At 37.7% G+C, this 27,093-nt stretch overlaps 1 protein-coding gene and 1 pseudogene across 25 annotated transcripts in view; both read left to right on the forward strand.

Annotated features, from left to right (window-relative positions):
* The window catches only part of MCTP2 (multiple C2 and transmembrane domain containing 2), a 252,587-nt gene that overhangs the window by 26,511 nt on the left and 198,983 nt on the right, over positions 1-27,093 (forward strand). For 8 of the 25 annotated variants that reach the window (NR_169530.1, NR_169529.1, NR_169527.1 and 5 more), the window contains exon 2: positions 20,278-20,387. The exons of the other annotated variants lie outside the window; for them this stretch is intronic. The gene's annotated coding sequence lies outside the window, so the exon portion shown is untranslated. The remainder of the gene's footprint in view (positions 1-20,277; positions 20,388-27,093) is intronic. 25 annotated transcript variants of the gene reach the window in all.
* On the forward strand, positions 15,620-16,126 carry RPL26P5 (ribosomal protein L26 pseudogene 5; annotated as a pseudogene).

Consider the following 27,093-nt stretch of genomic DNA (forward strand, 5'->3'; position numbering starts at 1 on the left):
GCCTGGCCCATTTTCTTTTTTAAGATGGAATCATGCTCTGCCGCCCAGGCTGGGGTGCAGTGGTGCGATCTTCTCAGGGCTCACTGCAACCTCCATCTCCTGAGTTCAAGCAATTCTCTTGTGTCAGCCTCCTGAGTACAGCACCTGCCACCATGTCATTTTTTTTTTTTTTTTTTTTTAGTAGAGATGAGGTTTTACCATGTAGGCCAGGCTGGTCTCGAACCCCTGACCTCAAGTAACCTGCCTGTCTCGTCCTCCCAAAGTGCTGGGATTACAGGTGTGAGCCACTGTGCCTGGCCACATATTGAACATTTATGTGCTCAAATCCCAGGAGGGTTTCTAATTCCTTGGTTACTTAATAATGTCACAACTAAATGAATGCTTCAGTTATCCAGATTTCTCTAAGCCCAGGTTATGGTAAACAGATTTATTTCTATATTGTGAGTTTGAATTTCTTTTCTAATTATGAGTGACTCCTCTCTCAAAGGACATGCAAATCTTTTTATCCTGCCTCTGCCCCATCACCTGGGTCCACAAAAAAGCATCTGTGTCTACTTCTGAAAATGCAAATTATTTGAATGTGCCAGAGTAAGTAAAAAGGAAGTGGTGCATGCATGGTGTAGTTTGTAAATGTAAGAGTGACTTGAGACAGATGAGATCCTTTATTGAAATTAATAGTTAATGAATTTTCCCAAGAGAAACACCATTTAGTAGAGGTGACAATGGTAGTTACCGAAAACCCTATTTAAATCACGCTTGCCTTAAAAAACTAAAAACCAAAAAACCAAAAAAATCTTGTCTATTTCATCTTGTCTGGTTTGCATTATGTTCATTACCTGATTCTTCTTTCTAAAAGGAGAGATACAGTTCTGAAAATAGTTATTGCCTAAAGGGAGAAAACAAATTCTTTTCCTGGTATTGCAGTTTTGTTATTTGTTTTCCAACAGGTTAAAGGATTTAATTATTCAGATGCTCTAGAACTGTTCTCTGCATATTCTTTTGATCATACGCCCTATCAAGCAGGTACTTTTTGAGCAGACACACCCAATATATAAGTTTACATATTTACTTATAAATTATGTACATGTACTATGGTGCTGATAATATATATACATTATTCAGCATACACTAAAATAGAGATTAAAAGAACACATTAAGTCAGTGTGAATGGAAGTTCCAATATTTTCTTCCTACACTCTGTGGCTATGCTGGACTCTCCCTGGGCCATGCTCACTCAGTTCACTCTGGGGACCCCCTTCACCCCACCCAGCCTAGTCCAGGTCATGGGATTGCAGGACCTGAATAAAAACACACCATTAGTACTCATACTCTGCCTAGGGAGGCTAAGGGAAGAAAAGTTTGCTAAAGGTCCTGAATAAAGCTCATCGAACTCCAAATTCTTCACCTTTAAAGAGAACATGCTACAGTGCACAGCCTGGCACCTGGGGCAGAGTGGTGATCAGGAAGGGGAAATTGATGTTCTCCTCCTATTTCTGCTGCTGTTCTGTTACTGCAGCTGTTAACTGCTAGTTCATAAATCTTTTATCTAAAAATTCACAATTCAGAAACTTTTGCAAATGGAAAGGATTTTGTTTGTAAGAATCCTTACCAGGGTTTGGTAGCAAACTCTGACTTGGACTCTTGTGTAACTATTTCTGTTCTATGTAGTAGTTATATATCCCATTAAGTTTGAATTGTGATATGTTTGATGATGAAATACTGTCTCCAAACCATTTAGGGTATTGTGTAATATATGATACACTCTCTAAATTCTTAAATTTCTGAACTCCAAAAACAAACCTGGCCCAAGGTTGGTTTAACCTCTGTGATGATTATTTCTACTTTGAAGCTTGTTGCCCTTTTGTTCAGGTTATTGCTGTATGATCATTTGGTGAAGGATACTGCTTTTTGATGGACATGATCGCTTGTAAAGGCTTCCCCAGGTCTCTACTGTAGGGAAGAGTGCGCCTGTCCTGATTCAGTCATTTGTAAACTATTGTTATTGTTTGGACAGGAATAGCAGATGGCTTAGTCTCACCCTTGTGCACTGAATGCCCTCCACATCACCATGTAATTGTCCTTTCCAGATCATACATTGGGTAAGGAACCTTCTGATCTCTGCCCTGTTCTTAATCTCCTTCAACCACTTTCTCTTCCCCTTTGGCTGTTCACCAGTGAGGTCATTTGCTTTATCTCTGGAATATATGAAAAGGCTCCACCTGTACCTCTCATGTTGTCTTCTCACTTCTGTTTTCTCTACCCAAGGAACCTTGAGTGCCTTTCCTGGGGATTCTGGCCACGGAAACTTCTCCTGTTCCTCAGGGGCAATAAGGGTATGCGAAAATTCCTCCCCGACTCAGGATCCAGTGGGCTTGCCATGGTGCATTCAGAGGCTCTGCCATCTCTTTAGCATTCCTTTCCAGGCTGCAGTCTACCCCCTGAGTCCAGCCCACTCAACTTTCTTGTTCAGCTTTGGCATCATCTCATGATTGGAGGGTGCAGCCTTCATTGATAGGCTGGCATTCTTTCCAGAGTGACAGTGCCAACTCTCTTCTTCTTTCTGCCCTCTCGTCTTCTCTCATGGGCCACAGAGTGGTTGGGAATACAGGTTGTGGGCAGACAGTAAATGGGGCTTCCAACACCATATTAAGGACTTTGAACTTGTACAAAGTTTATCTGCAGGAGCCATTAAAGGTGATTCCATCTCTACCTTGAAAAGACCGTTGCTCTGGTGGTGTAAATGAGAGATTGTAGAGGAGAGAGGTGAGAGAAGGGGAGTAGAGGTTCAGAGTACACTCTCAGATATCCTTTATTTCACTTCAGTTTCAAAATGTTAATTTGACTGTGTAAACCAAAAATAAAATTCTAAGGCCCTCCAACCATCTGAATGAACCCCTCTTCTCAGCCAACGGCATTCCAACGTTAACCTGAAAAAATGAGTTCAGGCCATGATGGGAGGGGACAGCCAGGCATGCCTCATTATACCCTCCTCCCTTTTGGAATTACTGAAAGAACAGTAATAGAACAGTGATAGTTCTTTAGGTCTGGTAAGAAACATTTACAACCTGTTCTCTCTGAAGCCTGCTACCTGGAAGCTTCATCAGCACGATGAAACCTTGGTGTCCACAACCTTTTATCATGACCGAGACCCTCCTTTCTATTGATGATTCTTTTACCAATTGCCAGTCAGAAAACTTTTAAATCTACCTGTGACCTGGAAGCTCCCCTGCCTCCTCACCACCCACCCCTGCTTCAAGTTGTCCCACCTTTCTGGACCAAACCAATGTGTATCTTTCATGTATTGATTGATGTGTCTCATGTCTCCCTAAAATGTATAAAACCAAGTTGTACCCCCAACCCCCTTGGGCACTTGTCATCAGGACCTTCTGAGGCTGTGTCATAGGTGCATCTTTAACCTTGGCAAAATAAACTTTCTAAATTGATTGAGACCTGTCTGAGACACTTTTTGGGTTCACACTACCACCTGATTGGTAAAACAGTTGGAGTGGATAGCATGTGGATTCTGTGTTAGGCAGCTGTGAGTCTTAGTGACAACTCTACCATCAAAAACCAACCGGTGGCCAGGCAGGCTGTAATGTATAAAGTAGGGGCTTTTATGCCTTTTAGTAATTCTTGCAGGATGCTTCTGAGTATTATATAAATTACGTCTGTAACATGTGACTGAGTACCAGGAATGTAGTACCTGTTCAGTAAAGGTTGGTGTTTAGTTTCCCTCACACCATGAGATATTTGCACTGAGGTCTGAACTTTGAAAACCAGGCATATGTAGTTGATGTTTTTGTATTCCAGATAGTGTCGCTTTTAATTGACACAGGTAGTGTTCATTAGGTCATGTTAATAAAAGAAATAGTTTTTTTCTAACCATGTATTAAGCTATCCAAAACCCCTGCTTGGCTGATGTTTATGCTGATTCAGAATGAATTCATGTCATAATTTAAAACTCGTGAACTGAAGTGTTTTTCATTGTACATTGGATTGAAGATCTCACTTAAAACTGTGTGGTCTGTGTGAGGTTGTATTACTTTATTGGTTAGGAAACTATATTTCAGGACTTTGAAAAACATTAATTTCTTGTATATTGCAATTAATCTAATTAGACAAATATTTAAATATTTTTGGAAAACTAATGTTTTATTTCCTTCCCTTCTAATTATTGTCTTTACACATCACAGCAGTATAATCTACTGTAGTCTTTTATTCAGGGTAACTTATCTTTAAATAATTAAAAAATAAATTTAAAGAGCTTTTAGTTGGTCACCTAAACTATTTTATTGTTTTAAGTACCAATAAATGAAACTTTATAATAGTCTTATTGCACAGTTATTAAATATAACATTTCATGATGCCTTTTAATATGTATAATGTTTGTTAATTGAACTTCATTTGGAAAGTGTTTGAAGATTGTAGTTTTAATTTCTGATGTGTGTGTTTTTCATAGTCCATCTTTTAGCAATTTATAAAGTGAACTATTTCTTTTGGAAGATGACTAAGACATTGCTGAAACTATATTGGCCTAGGTCCATTTTTCAAAATCATGATTTGTAAATTTACTTTGAAATTTAACTTTAATTGTTAAAGCAAATCTAACAGTGATTGCAAGATATAGGAAAGTCATAGCTGCAATGTCTATATTTTCGATTTAGTATACATTTAAAATATTGCTTCTCAAAGCATATTTTAGAGGGTATGTGTTATATTAATGGTGAAATAAATATATAGGGAGTTGGGCATATAACTCTCTATGGAAAAACCTCTATTTCTTTCTTTTTTTTTTTGTGGGGGTGCGTGGAGGAGACAGAGTCTTGCTCTGTTACCTGGGCTGGAGTGCAATGGAGTGATCTCGGCTCACTGCAACCTCAGCCTCCTGGGTTCAAGCAATTCTTGTGCCTCAGCCTCCTGAGTAGCTGGGATTACAGCCACCTACCACAATGGCCATGTAATTTTTATATTTTTAGTAGAGGCAGGGTTTTGCCATGTTGGCCAGGCTGGTCTCGAACTCCTGGCCTCCTGTGATCCACCCATCTCAGCTTCCCAAAGTGCCGGGATTACAGGTGTGTGCCACTGCACCTGGCCTTATTTCTTCTTTGTAGTAGAAAATATACTGCAGGAGTCATTAAAGGTGATTTCATCTCTGCTTTGAACAGATCACTGCTCTGGTGGTATAAATGAGAGATTGTAGAGGAGAGAGGTTAAAGAAGGAGAGTCAGACTCATGACTTTATAGTAGAAAATAGACTCATGACTTCATAGTAGAATATAGACTCGTGACTTTGTGTCCATAAACCTGTTTAGTAAGCAGAGAAGGATGCATTATCCACTTTGGTTTTCGGCTGAATAGTGAATGGGCATTGTGTCTTCTGAGAGATACATACAGCTAAGTCTCATTGTTCACGATAGTTATGTTCTATCAAGTCAAAACAAACACTGAAATAGCAAACACTGGACCATTGCTTGTAGGGGAAATACAAAGTTAGCTTCCTTTCAGCCTCTGGCCACAATATTTTTGCCACCCTATTAATAGATAATGGTATTGTGTATGTGTTTCTGTTTAAGGACATGTCATTTAACACGTATTGTTGACTCATTAACTCTGAACTCATAGCCAACAGCATTATGACTTACGCCCGAATGAAGTTTATCTAAAACATGTGTCTTCTCTGTAAGACACATCACAGCCTTCTGTCCTTAGGAACACCAGACAACACTACAGCTTTATGCTAGGGAACCATTTTAAACAGTGAAGTCACCAACCAAAAGCACAAAGAGATGAAAAACACAGCATTAAATAGACCACGGAAAGAAGAGTTACAGTTTGAGAGCTGAAACAAGAAGGCAGACATTGCCTTCTTCAGCCTCCTCTGGGAATATGCATGTAGAGTGATTCACATTTTTTTGCACGTGTCTGTGAATGACCACAAAAGTGCTGTGGGGTTATAAAGAAACTTTAGCGAGTATACCAGTTCACAAATGAGAATCATCTGTAGTCAGACTAGAGTAAATTTTTAAGGCTTTCAAATTGTCAGCTGAACAGCTAAACCCTTTCTTCCGAAGAGCTTAGTCTGGTAGATATGAGTAGATTCAAATTCTCCTCCTACCTGGAAGGCCTAGTTTCTCTCTCTGGCACTCCTCTTACTTGGTGCTGACACTTGAAACCTCTTAGATGTCCCTCACTTCTTCTTGGTCACAGTCCCTACTTCCACTTGAACAAGTGAATCACCTTTGCCTCCTCCCTAGGACCCTGGTTAGCTTACACATTCTGTCATATGTCCTGAAATGGGAAGTGTCACAGTGTAGTGATGAAGAAAGTGGGCTCTGGTTTCAGATGGCCTAGGATTAAATCCTGCTCTATCACTTACTGTTTTTGTGCCCTTGGGCAGGCGGTCATTGTTTTCCCATCTGTACAAGGGGTATAATAATATTGTCCACTTGAGGCTGGGCGCGGTGGCTCATGTCTGTAATCCCAGCACTTTGGGAGGCCGAGGCGGGTGGATCACGAGGTCAGGAGATCGAGACCATCCTGGCTAACACAGCGAAACCCTGTCTCTACTAAAAATACAAAAAAATTAGCTGGGCATGGTGGCGGGCACCTGTAGTCCCAGCTACTCGGGAGGCTGAGGCAGGAGAATGGCGTGAACCCGGAAGGCAGAGCTTGCAGTGAGCCGAGTTTGCGCCACTGCACTCCAGAGCCTGGGCGACAGAGCGAGACTCTGTCTCAAAAAAGAAAAAAAAATTGTCTACTTGAAATGTCAGTCATTGATAAGATAATATGTATTTAAGGTATTTAATATAGGTTGGCACATAAGCCCTCAAGTGTAAACTATTAACTCACTCAGTTACTTATATGTAACTTGTTTTTAGCCATCTTAAGAATTTGATTATGCACACCAACAAAAACAAAAGAAGGGGAGGAATTAGAGTAAAGGATACTCATGTATGAGAAGATCAAGCTGAGGTAATATTAGAACAAACTAGGAGGTTTGGAAGATATAAACTCTCAATTTGGTCCTGAGTTCTGACCAGTCCCAATAAGGAAAGCCTGATTCTCACTATCTTTTAAATAAAGGATTTTTTTTTTCAGGGAGCACACATCTATTTCTGGAACTGAATAATTATTTTTTCCTTGTTATAGGGCACTTTGATGTGCGTATGCCTGTTGTGCTGATTTGTGATATGTTTGTGTATACATGTGTGTCTCATTACACTCAGAATCTTGGAGATTTGGCTTCAGTTTACTTAACTTCCATATCCAGGCCTACCTATGAGGCAATAACTCTGCCAAGGACTCCTGCTTTTGATGATGGGATTGCCAGGACACTTGACTCTACAAGAACTCTGCGTTTGCCCTTCCTCTGATTTTATCATGAGTCACTTATACTAACTCTAAGTGCAGAAAAAGGCAACAGGGGTTATATGAAAATGGTAATGGCAGACAGAGGCAGACGAAGGGACTGAGTTCAGTGTACTTTGTCCAAGGGGTCACGTGGACTTGGACATTGTGGCTGGGACCTTAAAGCCAAGGTCTCCATGCTTTTGGTTCATGGCACTCTATTATTAAATATTTCAAAGTATATACTCCATGTGTATGCACTTACTTACTTGTAGATTATATATACATAGTTCAGAGTTTATATAAGATATACACTACTGTTTGCATTGAGATATTAAATAGCTTATATAAGATGTACACCACTGTTTGCGTTGAGATATTAAAAGAAGGATGACTGTTCTAAAAGTAGATCATAGAGATATTGTGTAACTCAATAACTTTAATAAATATTATTCAGTTGTACATTTAAAATGGGTAAATTGTATATTATATAAATTATCTTAATGAAGCCTTTTTAAAAAGGAAGATAAAATGAAGGCAAAATAAACAGTATATAAACATTTGAAAACTTAGAAAGTAGAAGGCTTTTGATCTCACCCAATTTATTAATAATTAAATCCTTATTTTTTAGCAGAAGCAATGTAATTAAACATGTCATCAACATTTTTAATCATTTCATTTCAGAAAGCTCACGCTGGGAGTGTAATTACCACAATTTCAGTATTTTCGTCTGTGTTTTGACTATTGTCTTCAGTCCATAGTTGCTTTGCAAGATTCTTTTTTAGTAAGACAAGATCACATCTTTAAATCTCTGTAGCTAGCTGTGCTGTACACATACACGTGCATGCGTGTGCGCGCACACACACACACACGTGCTCTACAGTCTCAATATGCACACACTGGATGATCCTGAGAGTGTGTGGCCTGGGGTCTGTGTTGCTGCACTGTGATCATTACATTCTTGCATCAGAGCAGCTCCAAATAGCTTGTGAGTCACTGATCTATGGATTATGTGAGGGGGCCACAGCCTCTTCCATTTCCTGGTGCTGCATTATTCATTAGCACTTTTACTATGTGAATTGCATGCAAATATTTTTTTGACTCGTTTGTATTTTTATTATTATAATTATTTGTCTGTCTCCTCCTCCAAGATATATGCTTCAGAAGGTCAGGAACTCAGTCTGTTTTGTTCACTGTTGCATTCTCAGCACTTTGACTAGCTCTTGGCACAAATTCTTGGCTCAATAAATATTGCCAAATAAGTAAATCAATTTGTGTATTAAATTTTAGTAACAACACATTTTCCTCCATTTTAAAAATGAAAATAAATACACGCTGAAGTTCAGATATTTTCTCCCTGCCCACACTGAGGTACCAACACTCAATTTTGGAGACCATTGCTGTAGTTGGGCGGTAGGTGAACAGCAGAGAAGGAAACGAAGGGTATCAGAGGCAAGGCAGAGAGCCCATAGAGAATGTGTTTCACTGAAAGGCCAGACTCACTTTTCTGGCTTTTGACATTTGGATCAGACCCACCTTACCCGTCTTGCCATATAAAAGGAAAGCAATGAAGAGTTGAGTCAGAAAATGAAGCAGATAAATGTAAAACTTGGTTCAGAACAATGTAAAACATTTTTGCAATTTTGTGCAACAGGGCTGCTGGTGATGTTTGAGGGACTTGGAAGACATTTAAGAGTGGCACTGTGACCTGTGACCTGTGACTTGTTCACATTGACTGGGCTGGCGAAGACAGGAAGTATTCAAGGGAATTGCACCTATTCAGTTTGTTTTGAAGAACTGCTTTGTAATGTAACTGAAATCCAGTTGATTCAGTTTTTGTGTTTGCTTTTTGAATAATTTACATACAGTAAAATCTATCCTTGTTAGGTAGATGGCTGTTGGAGTTTGAGAGATACGTGCAGTCTTGTCACCACTGCCGCAATCATAATGTAGGTGGTTTCTGTCACCTCTTCAAAAGTTTCCCTGTCCCTGTTGCAGTCAATTCCTTCCCCTTAGCAAGCATTGGTCTTATTGCTATCCATATAGTTTTCCCTTTTCCAGAATGTCATTAAGAATGATATCATACAGTACGTTTGCTTTTTATGTACGAATTCTTTCACTTAGAGGAATTTATAAGCGTTATGCTATGTTGTTTTGTGTATTAGAAGTACATTTCTTTTTGTTGGTGAGTAGTATTCCATTATATGGACACATCATATTTAAAAAAAATCCATTCACGAGTTAATGGAAAGATGGATTTTTTAAAGTTTTTGACAACTTTGAATAGTTTCTTTAAATGTTCATGTGCAAGTCTTGGTGTGGAGATCTCTTTTAATTTCTCTTAAACTCCTGTGAGATTGCTGGATCATATAAGAAACTGTCACATTTAATTAAACAAGAAATTTATACTTCAATTATATAAGAAACTTTCAAGCTGTTTTCCAAAGTGTCTGTGCCAGTTTACATTCTTATAATCAATGTATGAGAATTCCGCTTTCTCCTCATCTTCACCAGCACTTTGCATTGTCAGGATTTTTGGTTTGTTTGGTTTTGTTTGCCTGCTTGCTTACTTTTAGCCATTCTAGGAGGCAGTTGGTTTAGTTTCAAATGTAATGGCATGGGTCTGGATTACTTTCCTTTTCTTTCTTTTTTTTTTTTTTGAGACAGAGTCTTGCTCTGTCGCCCAGGCTAGAGTGCAGAGGCGTGATCTTGGCTCACTGCAAGCTCTGCCTCCTGGGTTCACGCCATTCTCCTGCCTCAGCCTCCCGAGTAGCTGGGACTACAGGTGCCCGCCACCACACCTGGCTAATTTTTTGCATTTTCAGTAGAGATGAGGTTTTCACTGTGATAGCCAGGATGGTCTCAATCTCCTGACCTTGTGATGAACCCGCCTTGGCCTCCCAAAGTGCTGAGATTACAGGTATGAGCCACCACGCCCGGCCCAAATTCATTCTTTCTTTCTTTTTTTTTTTTTTGAGACAGAGTTTCGCTCTTGTCACCCAAGCTGGAGTGCATTGGCACAATCTCGGCCACTGCAACCTCCGCCTCCTGGGTTCCAGTGATTCTCCTGCCTCAGCCTCCTGAGTAGTTGGGATTACAGGCGCCTACCACCATACCTGGCTAATTTTTTTTTTTTTTTGTATTTTTAGTAGAGACGGGGTTTCACCACGTTGGCCAGGTTTAGTCTTGAACTCCCGACCTCAGGTGATCCACCTGCCTCGGCCTCCCAAAGTGCTGGGACTACAGGCATGAGCCACCGCGCCTGGCCACTTTCCTTTTCTTCTTTTTCAATCTTTATTTTGTTGTCCTTCTCGTTTTCTTGGGAAAGTGTCCCCTTCTTGTTTTCTCCCTTGGCTGGCTTCCTTTGTATAGACTATGTGATTAACACCTCATTAAATACCGTCAGAACTTCTATTTCTGTATATTCATAGTATATGTTCCACACTGCCTTGCTATCCATGAATTCTTACCAGTAGATCATAAACTTCTTATGGACAGGTTTTGTGCCACTCTTATAAGAACTAGTAGATACTCAGGTAACATTTCTACATTGACTTTTTTTTTTTTTTTTGAGGAGATAAGAGTAGAGTCAGCTCTGAGATGACTACTTTTTAAGTGATTCTTATTTTTAATCTTTTTGTATATTATTGGTAGTTTTTAGGACCTAAGGAAAGCATGTTTGCCAGATTTCCACTTCTGAATCAGGGATGGATTGATGGAATACTTTAATAACATTATTTTTAAACTATTAGCATAAGGGTTTTTTAATTGCTCCAACAATGTTAGTGTCTTCTTCACTTAGCATTATACTATTTTAATAATATTGTTTAAATGATTAGTATAAGGACTTTTTAAATTGCTCCAACAATGTTCATTTGTCTTTCACACTTAGCACTTCGTGATATTTATAAAGGGCCCATTGAAGTATCTCGTGTTGACACACTGAGGTTGGTTAGTTTGGGTTTCAAATTCTGTCAGTTTTCAAGCTCTGTTCAAGTTCACTTTTAAGCATGAATCATGAGTTACACAAATCATATAGATTTATTCTTAAAATGTTGATTATTTTAAGTCATCTTTTTCAGTAAGTGCCTTATAAAGATTTGGGCAGAGTTTCAAATTCTTCTAATATTCAGGCTTTAGGTGTAAGAATAATTGATAGAATTTAGGGGTAAGAATAATTGATAGAATAATTGATGTTTTAGACAGATAATAGAGTAGATTTGTCTTTACAACTCCAGATATCTGGAATCATATGTTTTCAATGATTGCCTTATGAAGATTATTGAAAACTGATATCTCAGTGTTAATTTTCAGTGTGTCTTGTATAAGCTCTCTCGTGGACAGAGCAGCTTTTATAAGGGTTAAATTTATCAGGCTCCCATATATGTGATTAGCCATTGCTGTAGACAGTTTTCTAGTATTTCATGTTAGGAAATACTCAACAAATACATTTTAATATAACCAAGGTTCTGAAGAAGACCTTACCTCTGAATATTTTCCACAGAGCCTATTATATTCCCGAGTTCACAGAAAGTTGTTTTATTACTTCAAGGACTCTCTGGGCTCAACTCTGTAGCTAAAGAATGTTATGTTATTCTCTGGGCTTGGTAATTGTGTTCCAACTCTGATATTTAGCCGTGATACTGTTGTTTCAGAGTTTGAAGTAAGGGAAGATACCTCTAAAAAAAAGGTTCAACTCTAAAGCGTTTCACTTATCCATCTATATTGTAACATTTTTTTTCCAGTTGTCCCTTTTCTCCAAGCAGAATAAAATAACAGAAGCAGGGCACAGTGGTGAGGGTATTCAGGCACCATGCTTGTGGTTCCAGCTAGTGGACGTTATGTTCCTGTTGGGGACTTTTGAAATGTATATGATGGTTTTTCTGGTCACACTGACAGGGACATTGCTGACACATAGGAGATGGGGACTATGATAGCTGCCATCTTACAGTGTACAGAACAGACCCATATGTCAAAGAATGTTTCCACCCCAAGTGCCAGAAGTACCCCCTGTTGAGCAACACTGAGATAGAGAGGCTTCAATTTCGGGCACTGTGAGCTTGAACAGTTTGCATTTGCTTCATCTGTAAAGTTGGAGGTAAAATTACCTATTGTATAAGATCATTTTAAGGATTTCTGATGATGTATGTAAAGCAGTGAACACAGGACCAGATGCTTAGTAGGAACTAGTAGAGGAATTGTTTGACGCCATTTTTAACCTTTAGTGGTTTCCCAGCCCACTCACAGTAAAAGCTGATGTCCACAGACTGGCCTACATGGACCTGTCCAATGCGATCTCCTGCTCCCCTTTGAGGTCATCTCCTGGTGGTCCCCCTCTCTGGCTCTCTTCCAACCACACTGGCCTCCTTGCTCTTTCTCCATCTCCCCAGGTGGGCTGCCTACCCCCTATCCCCCTCTCCTGGCCTTCTGCACTTGCTCTTTCTGCTATGTGAGAGGCTCTTTGGCTACATGTATCCCCCTGGTGTTCTCCCACACTTTCTTCCACATTCTGCTTACCTCATCTAAGGGGTGTTTTCCTGATGCATGATAGAAAAATAGATGCTTGGCTGTCCACAGCCACCCTTTGTTTCCACTCGGTTGTTTCTCTTCCCTTTACCATCACAGACAGACAGAAATTATTGTCTGTCTCTTCCAAGTAGTACATAACTTTCATGTAAGCAAGTACTCTGCCTTGTTCACTGATATATCCCTAGTGGCTGGAATATCCCATCGTTACTTAGGTGTCAATATGTGTATCAGATGACTGGATTAGTATTTTAAAACAGCAATGGCAAAGAAGTTGTAATTGACTGGTAACACTTGGTTGTATTACCAGTCAATCACAACAGTGTTACCAGTCAGTTACAACAGTACTTCATATGCTATTTGTGTGTATGTATGTGAGACGAGAGTGTGTGTGCATAAAAAAGTTATCCTTTCTACTAGTTACATAGATTTAAATCCAGATGATGGAATTAATAATTTACAGGAAACTCCCCATCTAAACAATTTTGATAAGCTTTGCAAGATATACCACACATTAGGTTGTCCAAAAATTGGATTTCTCTACTCACTGCTCTTCCAATTATATTATTCTCTCATCTCTTTTAATTGAAGGAAGCATGATACTTGTATTCTTACATGAGACTACCTTAAGGGCATAATGATGTGATTATATTTGGGTATATGTTTTGAAATTGGTTGCAAATCTCTAGAGGTTATCAGTAAAACTACTTGTAGCATGTTAGAATTAGTGAGTTTTCCTGTCTGCTTGGAGGAGGTGTAATTGCTCTTTGGATAGACAATAGGTGTTTGCTGTTTCTGTTAATATGGGTAGGAGCTGGGGACATGCTTTGAATGATTATGTTATGAAAGAAACTACTGGCTTGATGTTTTAGAAGCAAGAGAAAGATAAATGGTATAATATACTTATTTGAAAGATAGGTATTTGAATTTAAATTTTCTTTCTTGCTCTTTGGTAGATGTGATGATTTCTTTAAAATATTTTGCTTTGTTTCTGAAAAATTTGTCTGGATTTTATGGCTTAAAAATATGCACCATTTGTGAAACATATTCTTTTTCACACCAGAAATGGCTTTGGAACATATGCATAAAGTTTCTGTTGTTCTAAATTAGTGTTTCTTTTGGGCTAACCTTTCAATTACATTTACCATCCTAAAATAACTTCTTTACCTAAGTTGGACAAGATTTTGTACTGGAAATTAATACCTTTGCCTCCTACTATCCTTATTCCGGTGATGTTCTAAAGATAGTTCAGGTGTTCTGTTTCTGCAGGTAATTATTAGACAAGGAAACCTTTAAATGTGGTGATAATGTTAGGCAGGACCTTTGAAGTTTAATGGTTGTGTTCTAATGTAGGAACTGTTTAAGAGATCCATCTGTGTGGTTTAATCTAGGGCCAATAAACTCAATTATGTGAAGAAGTGAATTGCCTTCTCTTATATTTGTATGTAATGGCTAAGACAATTTTTTTTATTGGATGGTGCTTAATTTCAAAACTTGGGTCTATACCTGGATGGCAGATAATAACTATTCTTCTAAGGTGATCAAGGAAGTGTGTGTGGGTGTGCATGCATTGGGAGATGAGGGGTAGCAGTCCAATCAATGAGTAATTACTGATTGAACACTGTAGCCAGAGAAGCACGTGCGTTTAGCGTGAGTGTTGCGTCTGTCTACCTCTGTGATCCAGCCTCTTCTGCTCGACCTTCAGCCCAATTTTTTTTTTAGTTATCTAATCTGTTACTTTCATTTCCTTCTTTCCCACTCTCTTCTGAACCTACTTTAGGCAGATTTTCTTCTCCATTCTCCCATCAAAACAATGCATATCAAGATTGTCAGTAATCTTCATTTCACTAAATGGATACATTCAAGATTATTGTTACTGGATCTCCAAACAGCACTTGAGACTGTTGACCACTTCCTCTATAAAACACCCTTCCTTTGGCTTTTCGGTTTTGGGTTCTATTTGTCATAAGATAACACCATATTTTTTTTTCCCCTCTCTGGCTATGTCTTTCTAGTTTCCTTTGCAAGTTTATGCTGCTCTAAGAAACCACTAAGTGTTGGAGTTCTTTAAGGCTAATCGTCATAGTATAAGGCTTTTATATTTTCTTGGCAATGTCATCCATTACCATGCCTCCAATTGTCATCTGAATTGCCAATCTCTTCAACATCTTTCTCTAGATGTGCCCTCTCTCTTTGCTTCACAATCATGTGTCCAGCTGCCAATGTGGCTTTTCCAGCTGGACTTGTGAAACACAACAAAGTCAAGACTGATCTCAGGCTATCCCTTGAAAACCTGTACTTCTCAGCGAATTACCCTAGAACTCTCTAGTAGGGCTGGACTCAATAGTGACATACCGTCTCTCATCCCCTTTAGTGAGTGCCGTTAATGCAGCAACATTGCTTTCTCAATACCTGTTGTCTTTACTGATAGAACAAGAAGATGAACAAATCAAAAGCACATAGATCTAAACAACACAGCCAAACACCTTTCACTAAATGGCATATATAGAACCCAGCAACTGCAGAATTAACCATGTGCTGGGCCACAAAGGGAGCCTCTAATTTCAGAGGACTGAAAACATACTGATTTGCTTTCTGACTTAATCCTCAGCAATTAGGCTAGAAGTCAGTTACACAAACATAACTAGACAATCCCCATATAGAAATTAAGCACTATATTTCTAAAATCCAATATGTCATAGAATAAGATAGAAATCAGGAAATATATAGGAGCCAGAGAGTCACCATGAAGTTCAATCGCTTGGTGACCTGGGACCACAGCAAAAACTGCAAACGTCACTTCAATGCCCCCTCGCAGGTATGCAGGAAGGTCATGTCGTCCCTGCTCTCCAAAGAGCTGAGCAGAAATACAATGTCTGCTCCATGCCCATCTGCAAGGACCACGAGGTCCAGGTGGTTTGAGGACACTACAGAGGTTAACAAATTGGCAAGTAGTCAAGTTGTACAGAAAGAAAGTCAAGGTGTATCCATCATTTCCCAATGCATGCACACCCACACACACTTCCTTGTGTCCCTTATTCAGAAAGAAATATGTCCTCTACATTGAGCAGGTGCAGTGTGAGAGGGCCAACGGCACCACCATCCCTGTGGGCCTTCACTTGAGCAAGGTGGCTCTCACCAGGCCAAAACTGGACAAGGATCAGAAAAAATTCTTGAATGCAAAGCCAAGTCTTGACAAGTTGGAAAAGAGACAGGCAAATATAAGGAAGAACTTATTGAGAAAATGCAGGAATGAATATAACTTGTTGTGCAACCATGGTTTAACTGGAGATTTTTGGCCTAGCATGTGTTTCTTTGGAGCTTATCAAAATGTCTCTGGAATATTTCATTTCCTATTTTGTTACCACTGGTTCAGTGAATCTACTTTTGGAATTTTGATTAATAATTTTATGAGTGAAAATGGGAAATGCTCTAAAAAAAAAGAAATCAGGAAATATACTGAACTGAATGGTAATGAAAATGTGACATATTACAACTTGTGGAATGCAACTAATTCAGTGCTTAGAGGGAAATTTATAACATCAAATGCATAAACAAGCAAAAGGTATGGTCTGAAAATCAATATCTAATTTTCAATGTCAATAGTTTAGAAAAAGAATAGTAAATGAAACCCAAAGGGTATAGGTGTAGCAAAAAGGAAATAGTCAAAAACCAAAATTAATAAATAAAATCAACAGAGGAAAAATTAATTTTAGAAGGTATTAATAAACTTGCAGGATTGTTCAGAAAAAAAGCATATTACCAATATGAGCAATAAAAAGGGTTATTTTTAAACTAAACATGATATAGAAATGAAAAGCATAGGATATTATGAATAACTCTAGTCCAATAAGCTAAATACTTTAACATGGACAAACTCCCCCCTCCCCACAACAGCAAACATAACAAAACTGACAAAAGAGGAAGTAGAAATTATGAATGAATTGATGTCTATTAAATAATTTAAATTTATTATTAAAAATCTTCACATATATACACATGCATGCCAGAGAGCTTTACTGATGCATCCTTTTAAAAAATGCCACCAATTTTACACAAACTTTCTAAGAAAATGGTAAAGGAAGTCATGCTTTCCAACTCTATGGTTTCTACCAAAACATCACAGGAATAGAAAATTATGACTACACTCTTTCATGAACATAGGTGTAAAAATCCTAAGACACTTAGCAAGTAGAACTTAGTCTGATATATAAAAGTGTTATCCCAGTGGAATTTATTTCAGCAGTGAAAGGATGAGTAAATACTTGCAGATCAGTATAGTTTCTCACATTAACAGAAAAGGAGGAAATCATATGATCGCTTTGAAGGTTGCAGAAGAAGCAATTACAGTGAATGCTACTTACAATAGAAATTTTTATCAAACTAGAAATAGAAGAGAATTTTCTTAACTTGATGAGTATTTATCTTAGAAAGTCTACAGAAAACATAATTAAATGATGAAATTTTTAAGATTCTTTTGAGAGTGTTTACAACTGAAGGGTGCCCCTTATCATTTCTATTAAATAACAGAATAAACAAGTCATAAGGATTAGGAAAAAATATAAAACTAGTATTAGTCACAGGTGATCAGGTTGTACAGATACAAAATCTGAAAATAGTTACCAAAAATGTGTTAGAAGGAATAACAGAAATCATCAAGATCAGTATTTACAGGTAAATTTTACTTTTATATGCTAGTAATAAAGAAAAATTAAAAATGTCTATACTGAAAATTTCAAAAGATAATTGAGATAAATTTTAAAGTGAATTAAAGATTCTGTTTTCCATATCTTTACATTTTCTCCACTGTCTTTTTCTATTGCATCATCTATTTGTGCATCTGTAGACCACAAAATCAATTTCGTATTTATTGCAACTCACTGATAATCTTGATTATATCTTGCCTGTTCTGGACCCTTTACATTTCAGAAACATGGAACCTTTGTTAAATCTTAAATCAACTTAAATCAATTTAACCTTTCTTAAATCAACTTGTAAGAAAGATAAGAGCAGGTGATAATAAAATAGAAAAAACATAGATGAAAAAGATTGCCAAGATTTAGCAAACAAGAAATGATATTCTGTTTTATAAGCATTTTTTTTTTTTTTTTTTTGAGAGATGGAGTCTCGCTCTGTTTCCCAGGCTGGAGTGTAGTGGCGCGGATCTTGGCTCACTGCAACCTCTGCCTCCCTGGTTCAAGCAATTCTCCTGCCTCAGCCTCCTGAGTAGCTGGGACAGGCACTTGCCACCATGCCCAGCTAATTTTTGTATTTTTAGTAGAGATGGGATTTCACCGTGTTAGCCAGGATGGTCTTGATCTCCTGACCTTGTGATCCGCCCGCCTTGGCCTCCCAAAGTGCTGGGATTACAGGTGTGAGCCACCGTGCCTGGCCTTTATAAGTGTTTTTAAAGAAACAACTTTGGCTTCATTAATTCTTTGTATTCTATGCCAGAAAAAATAATACTAAAAATAATAGGGACATATTCATAAACAGGACAGAGATTAAAACAGCAATATAATGAAATTTTATGTTGGTATGTTTACAGTCCTAGATAAAAATCTATACTTTTCTAAAAAATATGGAACTTATTAAACTAATACAAGATGTAAAAAACCTAAATGAGTTTAAAACCAATGAAAAATTCAATTCAATCACCAGTTAAATAACTATTTTCAAGAAAACCTTTATGCACAGGCAATTTTATAGGTAAGTTCTAGCAATTAAGTAAGAAATTCCACTCTTACACTAAGTCTTTCTTTGCTGAAAGTAGTATAACACATGACTCAACCTAAACAAAGAACAAAGGAAAAATTACAGGTTGATATTACATGTAAACTAGTATGGACAAATAATAATATGTTCGTAATCTGAATTCAGCAATGGTATTTTTAAAATATTACAATGCAAATAAGAAATATTTGGTTATATCTCAGAATGAAAAAGATAGTTTAACATTAGAATATCAATGTAATTTACTACATTAACAGATAAAAGGAGAAAAGAAACATGATTACTTAAACAGATGCAGGAAAAAAATCTTTTGGCAAAATTCAGCACTTGTCCATCTTAAGAGCTGTTAGTAAACTAACCCAAAAAAAAAAAAAAAAGAGATATGTTCTTAGCCTAAAATGTCTTAAGGAATATTACGAGGATGGTTAATATCACAACTACTGTTACGTATTGAGTTGGAAGCCCAAAAAAAAAAAAAAAAAAATTAAGTGACTTGAAAAAGATGACACAAAACTGTCCTCATTTGAAAATAATTTGCTTGTCTACATAGAAAATCATAGATAATTAGAGTTTACAGACACATTATTGGAGTGAAAAATGATTTCAAGAAGATGGTTGGAATTAGAATCCACATATAAAAGTCAATTGCTTTTCTACATACTATCAGCTCATGAGGAAATTATAATACAATACTAATAACTACAAAATTATGAGATACCTAGGAATTAATTTATCAAAATATGGGCAAGATGCCTAGTAGGAAAATTTAAAAATATAACTAACTGCTCATTGAAGACTGAAGTTATATAGATACCATTGATCTAGTGATCATGCTTTTTAATATTTACCCAAATGAGTTGAAAACTTAGGTCCACACGAAATCCTGCACATGGATGTTTCTAGCAGCTTTATTTATAATTGTCAGAAAGTGGAAGCAGCCCAGAGGTTCTTCAGTAGTCAAATGGATAAACTATGGCACATCTAGACAATAGAATATTATTCAGAGATAAAAAGAAATGTTATCAAGCTATGAAAAGGCATGGAGGAACCTTAAATACATATTCATGAGTGAAGTAAGTTAGTCTGAAAAGGCTATGTAATATGTGATTCCAGCTCTTTGACATTCTGGGAAGGACAGAACTATAGAGACTATAATGCAATCACTGGCTACCAGAGGTTCAGGGGGAGGTAAGAGAGGGATGAATGGACAAAGCAGGGGATTTTTTATGACGTACAGAAACTACTCTGTATAATACTGTAAGGGTAAATACAGGACATTATATGTTTGTCAAAGCCCATAGAACTGTACAACACAAAAAGCCAACCTTAATTTACACTATAGATTTAGTTGTTAATCATGTGTAAATATTGGTTCAACAATTGTATTATAACAAATGTATCACACTAATACAAGATGTAAATAAAAGCGAAGAAATGTATGTTAAAAAGGATGGACAGAGGTAGTATATAGCAGAGGAAATCTCTATACTTTCTACACGATGTCTTTGTAAATCTAAAACTGCTCTAAACATAGTTCATTACAAAAAAAGATATAAAAAGTATATTCATGGCTTGGGAGATGAAAATATCATGAAGCTGTCAAATGCCCTAATATTAATTTGTAAATTAATTGCCAATCAGAATGTCTTCTGCTTTTATTCGGAGGTACAGATACCCAGACAAATGGATTCTAAAATTTGAATAGAAGAGCAAAGAAAATAGGAACCAATTTGAAGGACTACAAGGTGGACTGCTTGCTCAGCTCAGTATCAACACTTATGGTAAACCTATAGCAATTAATTATTATACGGTATTGACACAGGTATAGATAACCAGGTATAGTCCTCACCTATGGAAACTCTGTACCTGATAGGGATGGCATAGCAAATCATTAAGGGCTGGGGTTGGTCTTTGCAGTAAAGGGTGCTTTACAATTAGATTATCCAAATGGATAAACAAAGAAATATCACCCCCATCTAAAACCATTAACAATTCAGGATAGAGTAAATGACTGGTTGTGAAACTTTAGAGCTTTCCTAGAAAAACATATGATAATATATTTATGACCTTGAGGATTTGATTTGATTTGATTTTTATTTTTCAACTGTTATTTTAGTTTCAGGGAGGTACATGTACAGATTTGTTCCATGAGTAAATTGCATGTCACTGGGGTTTGATGTACTAATGGTTTCAGGCAGTGAGCGTAGTACCTAACAGGTAGTTTTTTTTGAAAATCCCTCTCTCCCTCTACCCTCAAGTAGGCCGTGGTGTCTGTCATTCCCTTCCTTGTGTCTATATGTACTCAGTGTTTAGCTCCTATTTATAAGGGAGAACACGTAGTATTTGGTTTCCTGTTCCTTTATTAATTCACTTAGGATAATGGCCTACAGCTCCCTCCACTATTATTGAATAGGGAGTCCTTTCTCCATTGCTTGTTATTGTCGAAGTTTGTTGAAGATCAGCAGGGTTATATAACCTGTTCCATTGGTCTGTGTGTCTGTTTTTGTACCAATACCATCCTGTTACAGTTGCTATAGCCTTGCAGTATAGTTTGAAGTTGAGTGGTGTGATACCTCTGGCTTTGTTCTTTTTGCTTAGAATTGCTTTGGTTATTTGGTCTCTTTTTTGGTTTCATAGGAATTTTAGAATAGTTTTTTTTCTAAATCTGTGAAAAATGAGTGGTAGTTAATAGGAATAGCATTGAATCTGTAAATTGCTTTGGGCAGTGTGATCATTTTTAACAATAGTGATTCCTCCAATTCAAGAGCATGGAATGCTTTTCCATTTGTTTGTGTCATCTCTGACTTCTTTTAGCAGTGTTTTGTAATTCTTGTTGTAGACATCTTTCACCTCCCTGGTTAGTTCATTCCTAGGTATTTTCTTCTTTTTGTGGTTATTGTGAATGGGATTGTGTTCTTGATTTGGCACTCAACTTATACATTACTGATTTATAGAAATGTTACTGATTTTTTTTTTACTTGATTTTGTATCCTGAAAATTTACTTGTTTATCAATTCTAGGAGGCTTTGAGCAGGGACTATGGGGTTTTCTAGGTAAAGAATTGTATAGTCTTTGAAGAGAGATAGTTTGACTTCCTCTCTTCCTATTTGGATGCCTTTTATTTCTTTCTCTTGCTTTATTGTTATGACTAGGACTTCCAGTACTATGCTGAATAGGAGTGGTGAGAGTGGGCATCTTTGCCTTGTTCTGGTTCTCAAGGAGAATGCTTCCAGGTTTTGCCTGTTCACTATGATGCTGGCTGTGGGTTTGCTGCTCTCTTTTTATTTATTATGTTCCTTTGATGCCTAGTTTGTTGAGGGTTTTTAACATGAAGGATTTTGGATTTTATCAAAAGCCTTTTCTGCATCTATTCAGATAATCATGTGGTTTTTGCTTTTAGTTCTATTTATGCGATGAATCACATTTATTGATTTGCATACTTTGAACCAAGCTTGCATCCCAGAAATAGTACTATATCATGGTGGCTTAGCTTTTTGATGTGCTGCTGGATTCAGTTTGCTTGTATTTTGCTGGGAATTTTTACACCCGTGTTCTTGACCTGAAGCTTTTGTTGTTGTTGTGTCTGTGCCAGGTATTGATATCAGAATGATGCTAGCCTCACAGAATGAGTTAGGGAGGAATCACTCCTCCTTGATTTTTTAAAAATAATTTCAATAGGATTGGTACCAGCCCTTCCTTATGCATCTGGTAGTATTTGGCTGTAAGTTTTTCTATTCCAGGGCTTTTCCTTTTTCGTAGGTTTTTAAATTTTTTTTATTTTTTATTAGTGATTCAATTTCAGAACTCACTGTTGGTCAGATCAGAATTTCAATTTCTTCTTGGTTCAATCTTGGGAGGCTGTATGTTTCCATTTATCCATTTCTTATATGTTTTCTAGTTTGTGTGCATAAAGGCATCCATTAGTCTCGAGGGTTTTTTTTTTTTTTAATTTCTGTGGGGTCGTGGGTAACGTCTGCTTTGTTGTTTCTGATTGTGTTGATTTGGATCTTCTCTTTTTTTTTTCTTCATTAGTCTCACTACCAATCTTATTCTTTCAAATAACAACTTTTGGTTTCATTGACCTTTTGTATGGGTTTTTGTGTCTCAATTTGATTCAGTTCAACTCCAACTTTTGTTATTTTTCTTCTGCTAACATTGGGTTTGATTTGCTCATTTTTCCAGTTCCTCTAAGTGTGATGTTAGATTGTTAATTTGAGATCTTTCTAACTTCTTGATGTAGGCATTTAGCATTACACACTTTCATCTTAAACTCCAACTGTGTCCCAGAGATTCTGATATGTTGTGTCTTGGTTTTCATTAGTTTCAAAGAATTTCTTGATTTCTGCCTTAATTTCATTATTTACCCAAAAATCATTTAAGAGCAGGTTGTTTAATTTCCATGTTATTGTGTGGTTTTGAGAGGTCTTTTTTGTTTTCGTTTTTGTTTTTATTGAGAGTGTGGTTAGTATATATTTTTTAACTTGTTGAGAATTGCTTTATGGCCAAACATATGATGGATCTTAGGGTATGTGCCACATGCAGATGAGAATGTATATTCTGTTACTGTTGGTTGGAGTATTCTGTAGAAGTCTGTTAGGTCCATTTGGTCAAGTGTTGAGTTTAGGTCTCAAATATCTTTCTTAGTTTGGAATACTAACAAAGTTTGACCTAACAGTGTCAGTGGTTTGAAGTCTCCCCCTAGTATTGTGTGGATATCTAATTCTAGGCCTTTACAAGCTTGTTTTATGAATCTGGCTGCTCCAGTGTTGGGTACATATAAATTTAGGATAGTTGATTCTTCTTGTTGAATTGAACTCTTTATCATTATGGAATGTCCTTCTTTGTCCTTCTTGATTATTGTTAGTGCACTCTGTTTTGTCTGGAAAAAAATAGGAACCCCTGCTTCTTTTGTTTTCTATTTGCTTAATAGATCTTTCTCAATCCCTTTACTTTGAAGCTATAGATGTTGTGGCAGTTGAGATGGGTCTCTTGAAGACAACATGCAGTTGGGTCTTTCTTCTTTATCCAACTTGCCACTCTGGGTCTTTTAAGTGGGGTATTTAGCTTATTTACATTCAAGGTTAATATTGATATATACAGGTTTGATCTTGTTGTTGTGATGTTCACTGTTTGTTATATAGTCTTGACTGTGCAGTTGTTTTATAGTGTCAGTGTGCTATGTACTTCAGTATATTTTTTTGATGGCCAGTAACAGTCTTTCATTTCCATGTTTAGCATTCCCATAAGGACCTCTTATAAGGCTGGTCTAGTGGTAACATATTCCCCTAGCATTTCTTGTCTGAAAAGGATTTTATATCTCCTTCAGTTTTGAAGCTTAGTTTGGCTGGATATGACATTCTTGGTTGGAATTATTTTTTTTTCATATACTGAATATAGGCCCGCAATTATTTCTACTGAAAGGCCCATCTTTGCCTGATGGGATTCCCTTTGTATATGACCTGCCCCTTCTCTCTAGCTGCCTTTAAGAATTTTTCTTTTGCAATGATTTCAAAGAATCTGAAGACTCTATACCTTGGTGAAAGTCATCTTGTATAGTATCTTGCAGGGGTTCTATGAATTTCCTGAGTTTGCAGGTTGACCTCTTTAGTGAGGTCTGGGAATTTTCATGGATAATATTCTTATATCCTCAAATATGTTTTCCCAGTTGCTTTCTAACTCTGTGTCTTTCAGGAATGCCAGTGAGTGATAGGTGTAGTCTTCTACATAATCCCATATTTCTTTGAGGTTTTGTTTATTTTTTAAAATTCTCTTTTCTTTATCTTTGTCTGCCTGCGTTGATTCAAATAAGTTGTTTTTGAATTCTGAGATTCTTTTCTCAGCTTTCTCTCTTCTGTTAGTAATGCTTCCAATTGCAATCCAATTTCTGTCATGAGTGATTCATTTCCAGAAGTTCAGTTGATTCTTTTGTAAAATGATTATGACATCTTTCAGCTCCTGGGCCGTTTTACTGTTTTCCTTGGATTGAATTTCAGCCTTCTCCTATATCTTGACGAGTGAGCTTCCTTGCTGTCTGGATTCTGAATTCTATGTCTGTCATTTCAGCCATTTTAGTCTGGTTAAGCATCATTGCTGGAGAGCTAGTGTGGTCATTTGGAGGTCAGAAGATACTCTGGCTTTTAGAGTTGCCAGAGATCTTGCACTAGTTCTTTCTCATCTGTATGGGCTGATGTTCCTTTAATCTTTTAAGTCACTGTCTTTTTGATGGGGCTTTTTGCTTTTATACTCTTTGATCCCCTTGAGGGTTTGACTGTAGTGCAAATTAGGTTTAGCCAACTGGCTTCATTTTTGGATGCTTTCAGGGAGGCAAGGCTCAGTTTAGCACTCCTGGCCTGCATGCCCTTATCATTGGGGGCTGGAAACAGGCCAGCAGCTTGGTTCTCTGGCCCCTCAAGGTTAAGCACCTGCTGTGCTGGAGGAGCTGAAGTGTTCACAGTCCCCTAGCAGCAACACTCTGATGGGGGCTGCCAATAAAAGTGATCCAGTGGGGCGGTGGTGTGTCGTTATATGTGTGTGCACTGGTGAGGCAGTGGGAGGAGGCTGTGGGTGGGTGCACCAGGCAGAAGAAGGCTGTGGGTGGGTGCACACCGGCAGAGGTCTTTCTGCAAAAGTACTCTGACAGGTAGGTGGGGTCTGCTGTTGAAAAACCTATGGCAGTGGCTGCTTGTAAATGCTTTGGCTGGGCAGCTGAGGCTGCGCTGTAAGTTGTGTGGCCAGGCAGGGACCCTGGGAGAGGCCAGCAGACAGGTGGAACACTCAGATCAGATTGTTCCTGTCCCATAGCAAGACATCCTTGCTCTGTCGGGGTCCAGCAGCTAACAAAGGCTAATGCTGCCTAGAGGAGTATGCCAAGCCTTGGGGGGTGGGCTTTCATGGCCATGCTCCATGGCAGATAGTCCCATGCCAACCCCCCTTGGCTTTGCACAGGCTGGAGTTCTGTCTCTGCTAACTATCTGGGAAGATCTCCCTGCCACCTTAAATATCTGGGGGGGTTGTGGGATATCCTGCAGCTGGGATCTCAAAGGTCTATGGTGAAAGTGGACCACTCCATGCCTATTTCATTCACCCCTTTCCTAGGAGCTGTTTGGGGCCAGGAATGAGTCTTACTGCTTGGCAACCCCATGTAGAGTTCCCAGCTTCTTACCTTTCAGCCTGGGGTCTACATCCTCCCTCTGTCCCCTCTCAATACCTTCTTTCTGAAGATCTGTTCAGAATATGCCAGTCTAATTGATAGTCTTGTCTCTCTTAGTGGCAGAAGCTATTCCTGGCTGCATTTAGTTGGCCATCTTGGCTGGTCCCCACCTTGAGTATTTTAAAACCATATGCATTGCACATATTCCAACCCCAAAACACAATACATTAAAAAATTGATACATTGAACTCACCAAATTTTCTTTTTAAATGACTCTTGGCACCATATAAAGTTTTTTAAAAAGCTACTTATTAGATCCCCTTTCGTCATTTCAGATTGGCAAATATATAGCTTGCAATTATAGGTGCAGGCAAGGATGTTGCACAATGGGAACTCATTAACTGCATCAGGAATATAAATTAATATACCTACTTTGGAGAATAGTTTGGCAATACCTAGCTAGTCAAGTTTAAAATATATGCGACCTACAAACCAATAATTCTACTCTGAGGTATGGTGTTTCTCAATGGGACCTTATTGGTAATTTGGACAGGATAAGTCTCTCTTGTGGAATATTTTGTATATCCCTAATTTGCACACACTATGAGTTATGTTCCCTACCATGGCCATTTTAACAACCAAATATTCTTCACCCATTACTAATCACTTCTAACTGGAAGTTTATACTTGGCTGAAAAACAGAGAGAGAAACTGACGTGTACATCAGAAGACAAGTCTAAGTATCTTCTTTAAATCCTTTTGTAGTGGTATAATAGAGTTAAGCATCTTAAGTAACCATCTGTGGAACATTAATCAATATATTATAGATCTTTCCATAATGCAATCCTATACAACTCTTAAAATGGCTTTAATGAAGCTACATTTATCATTGTGGGTAAAATTCGTGAAGGTAATGCTGATTGAAAAGCATGTAGTCATGTACGACTTATGTAAAGTTTATTAAAAATATGTTTATATATCCCTAAATAATATATAATAGAATATGTGGATGAAATAAATTCAGTTTTAGGACAGTGGTTTCGTCTGCTAGGGAATGGTGGGAAAGTCTTCACAGAGATGTTCATAGGCAGTGTGATTGCACAGAAGTGCATATGAGAATGCATAGCCAGTGCTAAGAATCTTTGGAGCTTATTGGCCCAGGGATCTGAAAATGATTATGGGCTGAGGTATATGAAAAATAGCAGGGTTAGAACACTAAAAGGCCTTTACAACTATTTAGGATAAAAAAGTTTTTAAAAAGATTAGGTAAGATCTCAGTTAAGGCAGGTAGTATAGTGTTGAAGCCCACTTTGTATTTTTGTTGAAATTTTAAAATT

This window comes from Homo sapiens, chromosome 15, assembly GCF_000001405.40.
Source record: "Homo sapiens chromosome 15, GRCh38.p14 Primary Assembly".
NCBI classification, from domain to species: domain Eukaryota; kingdom Metazoa; phylum Chordata; class Mammalia; order Primates; family Hominidae; genus Homo; species Homo sapiens.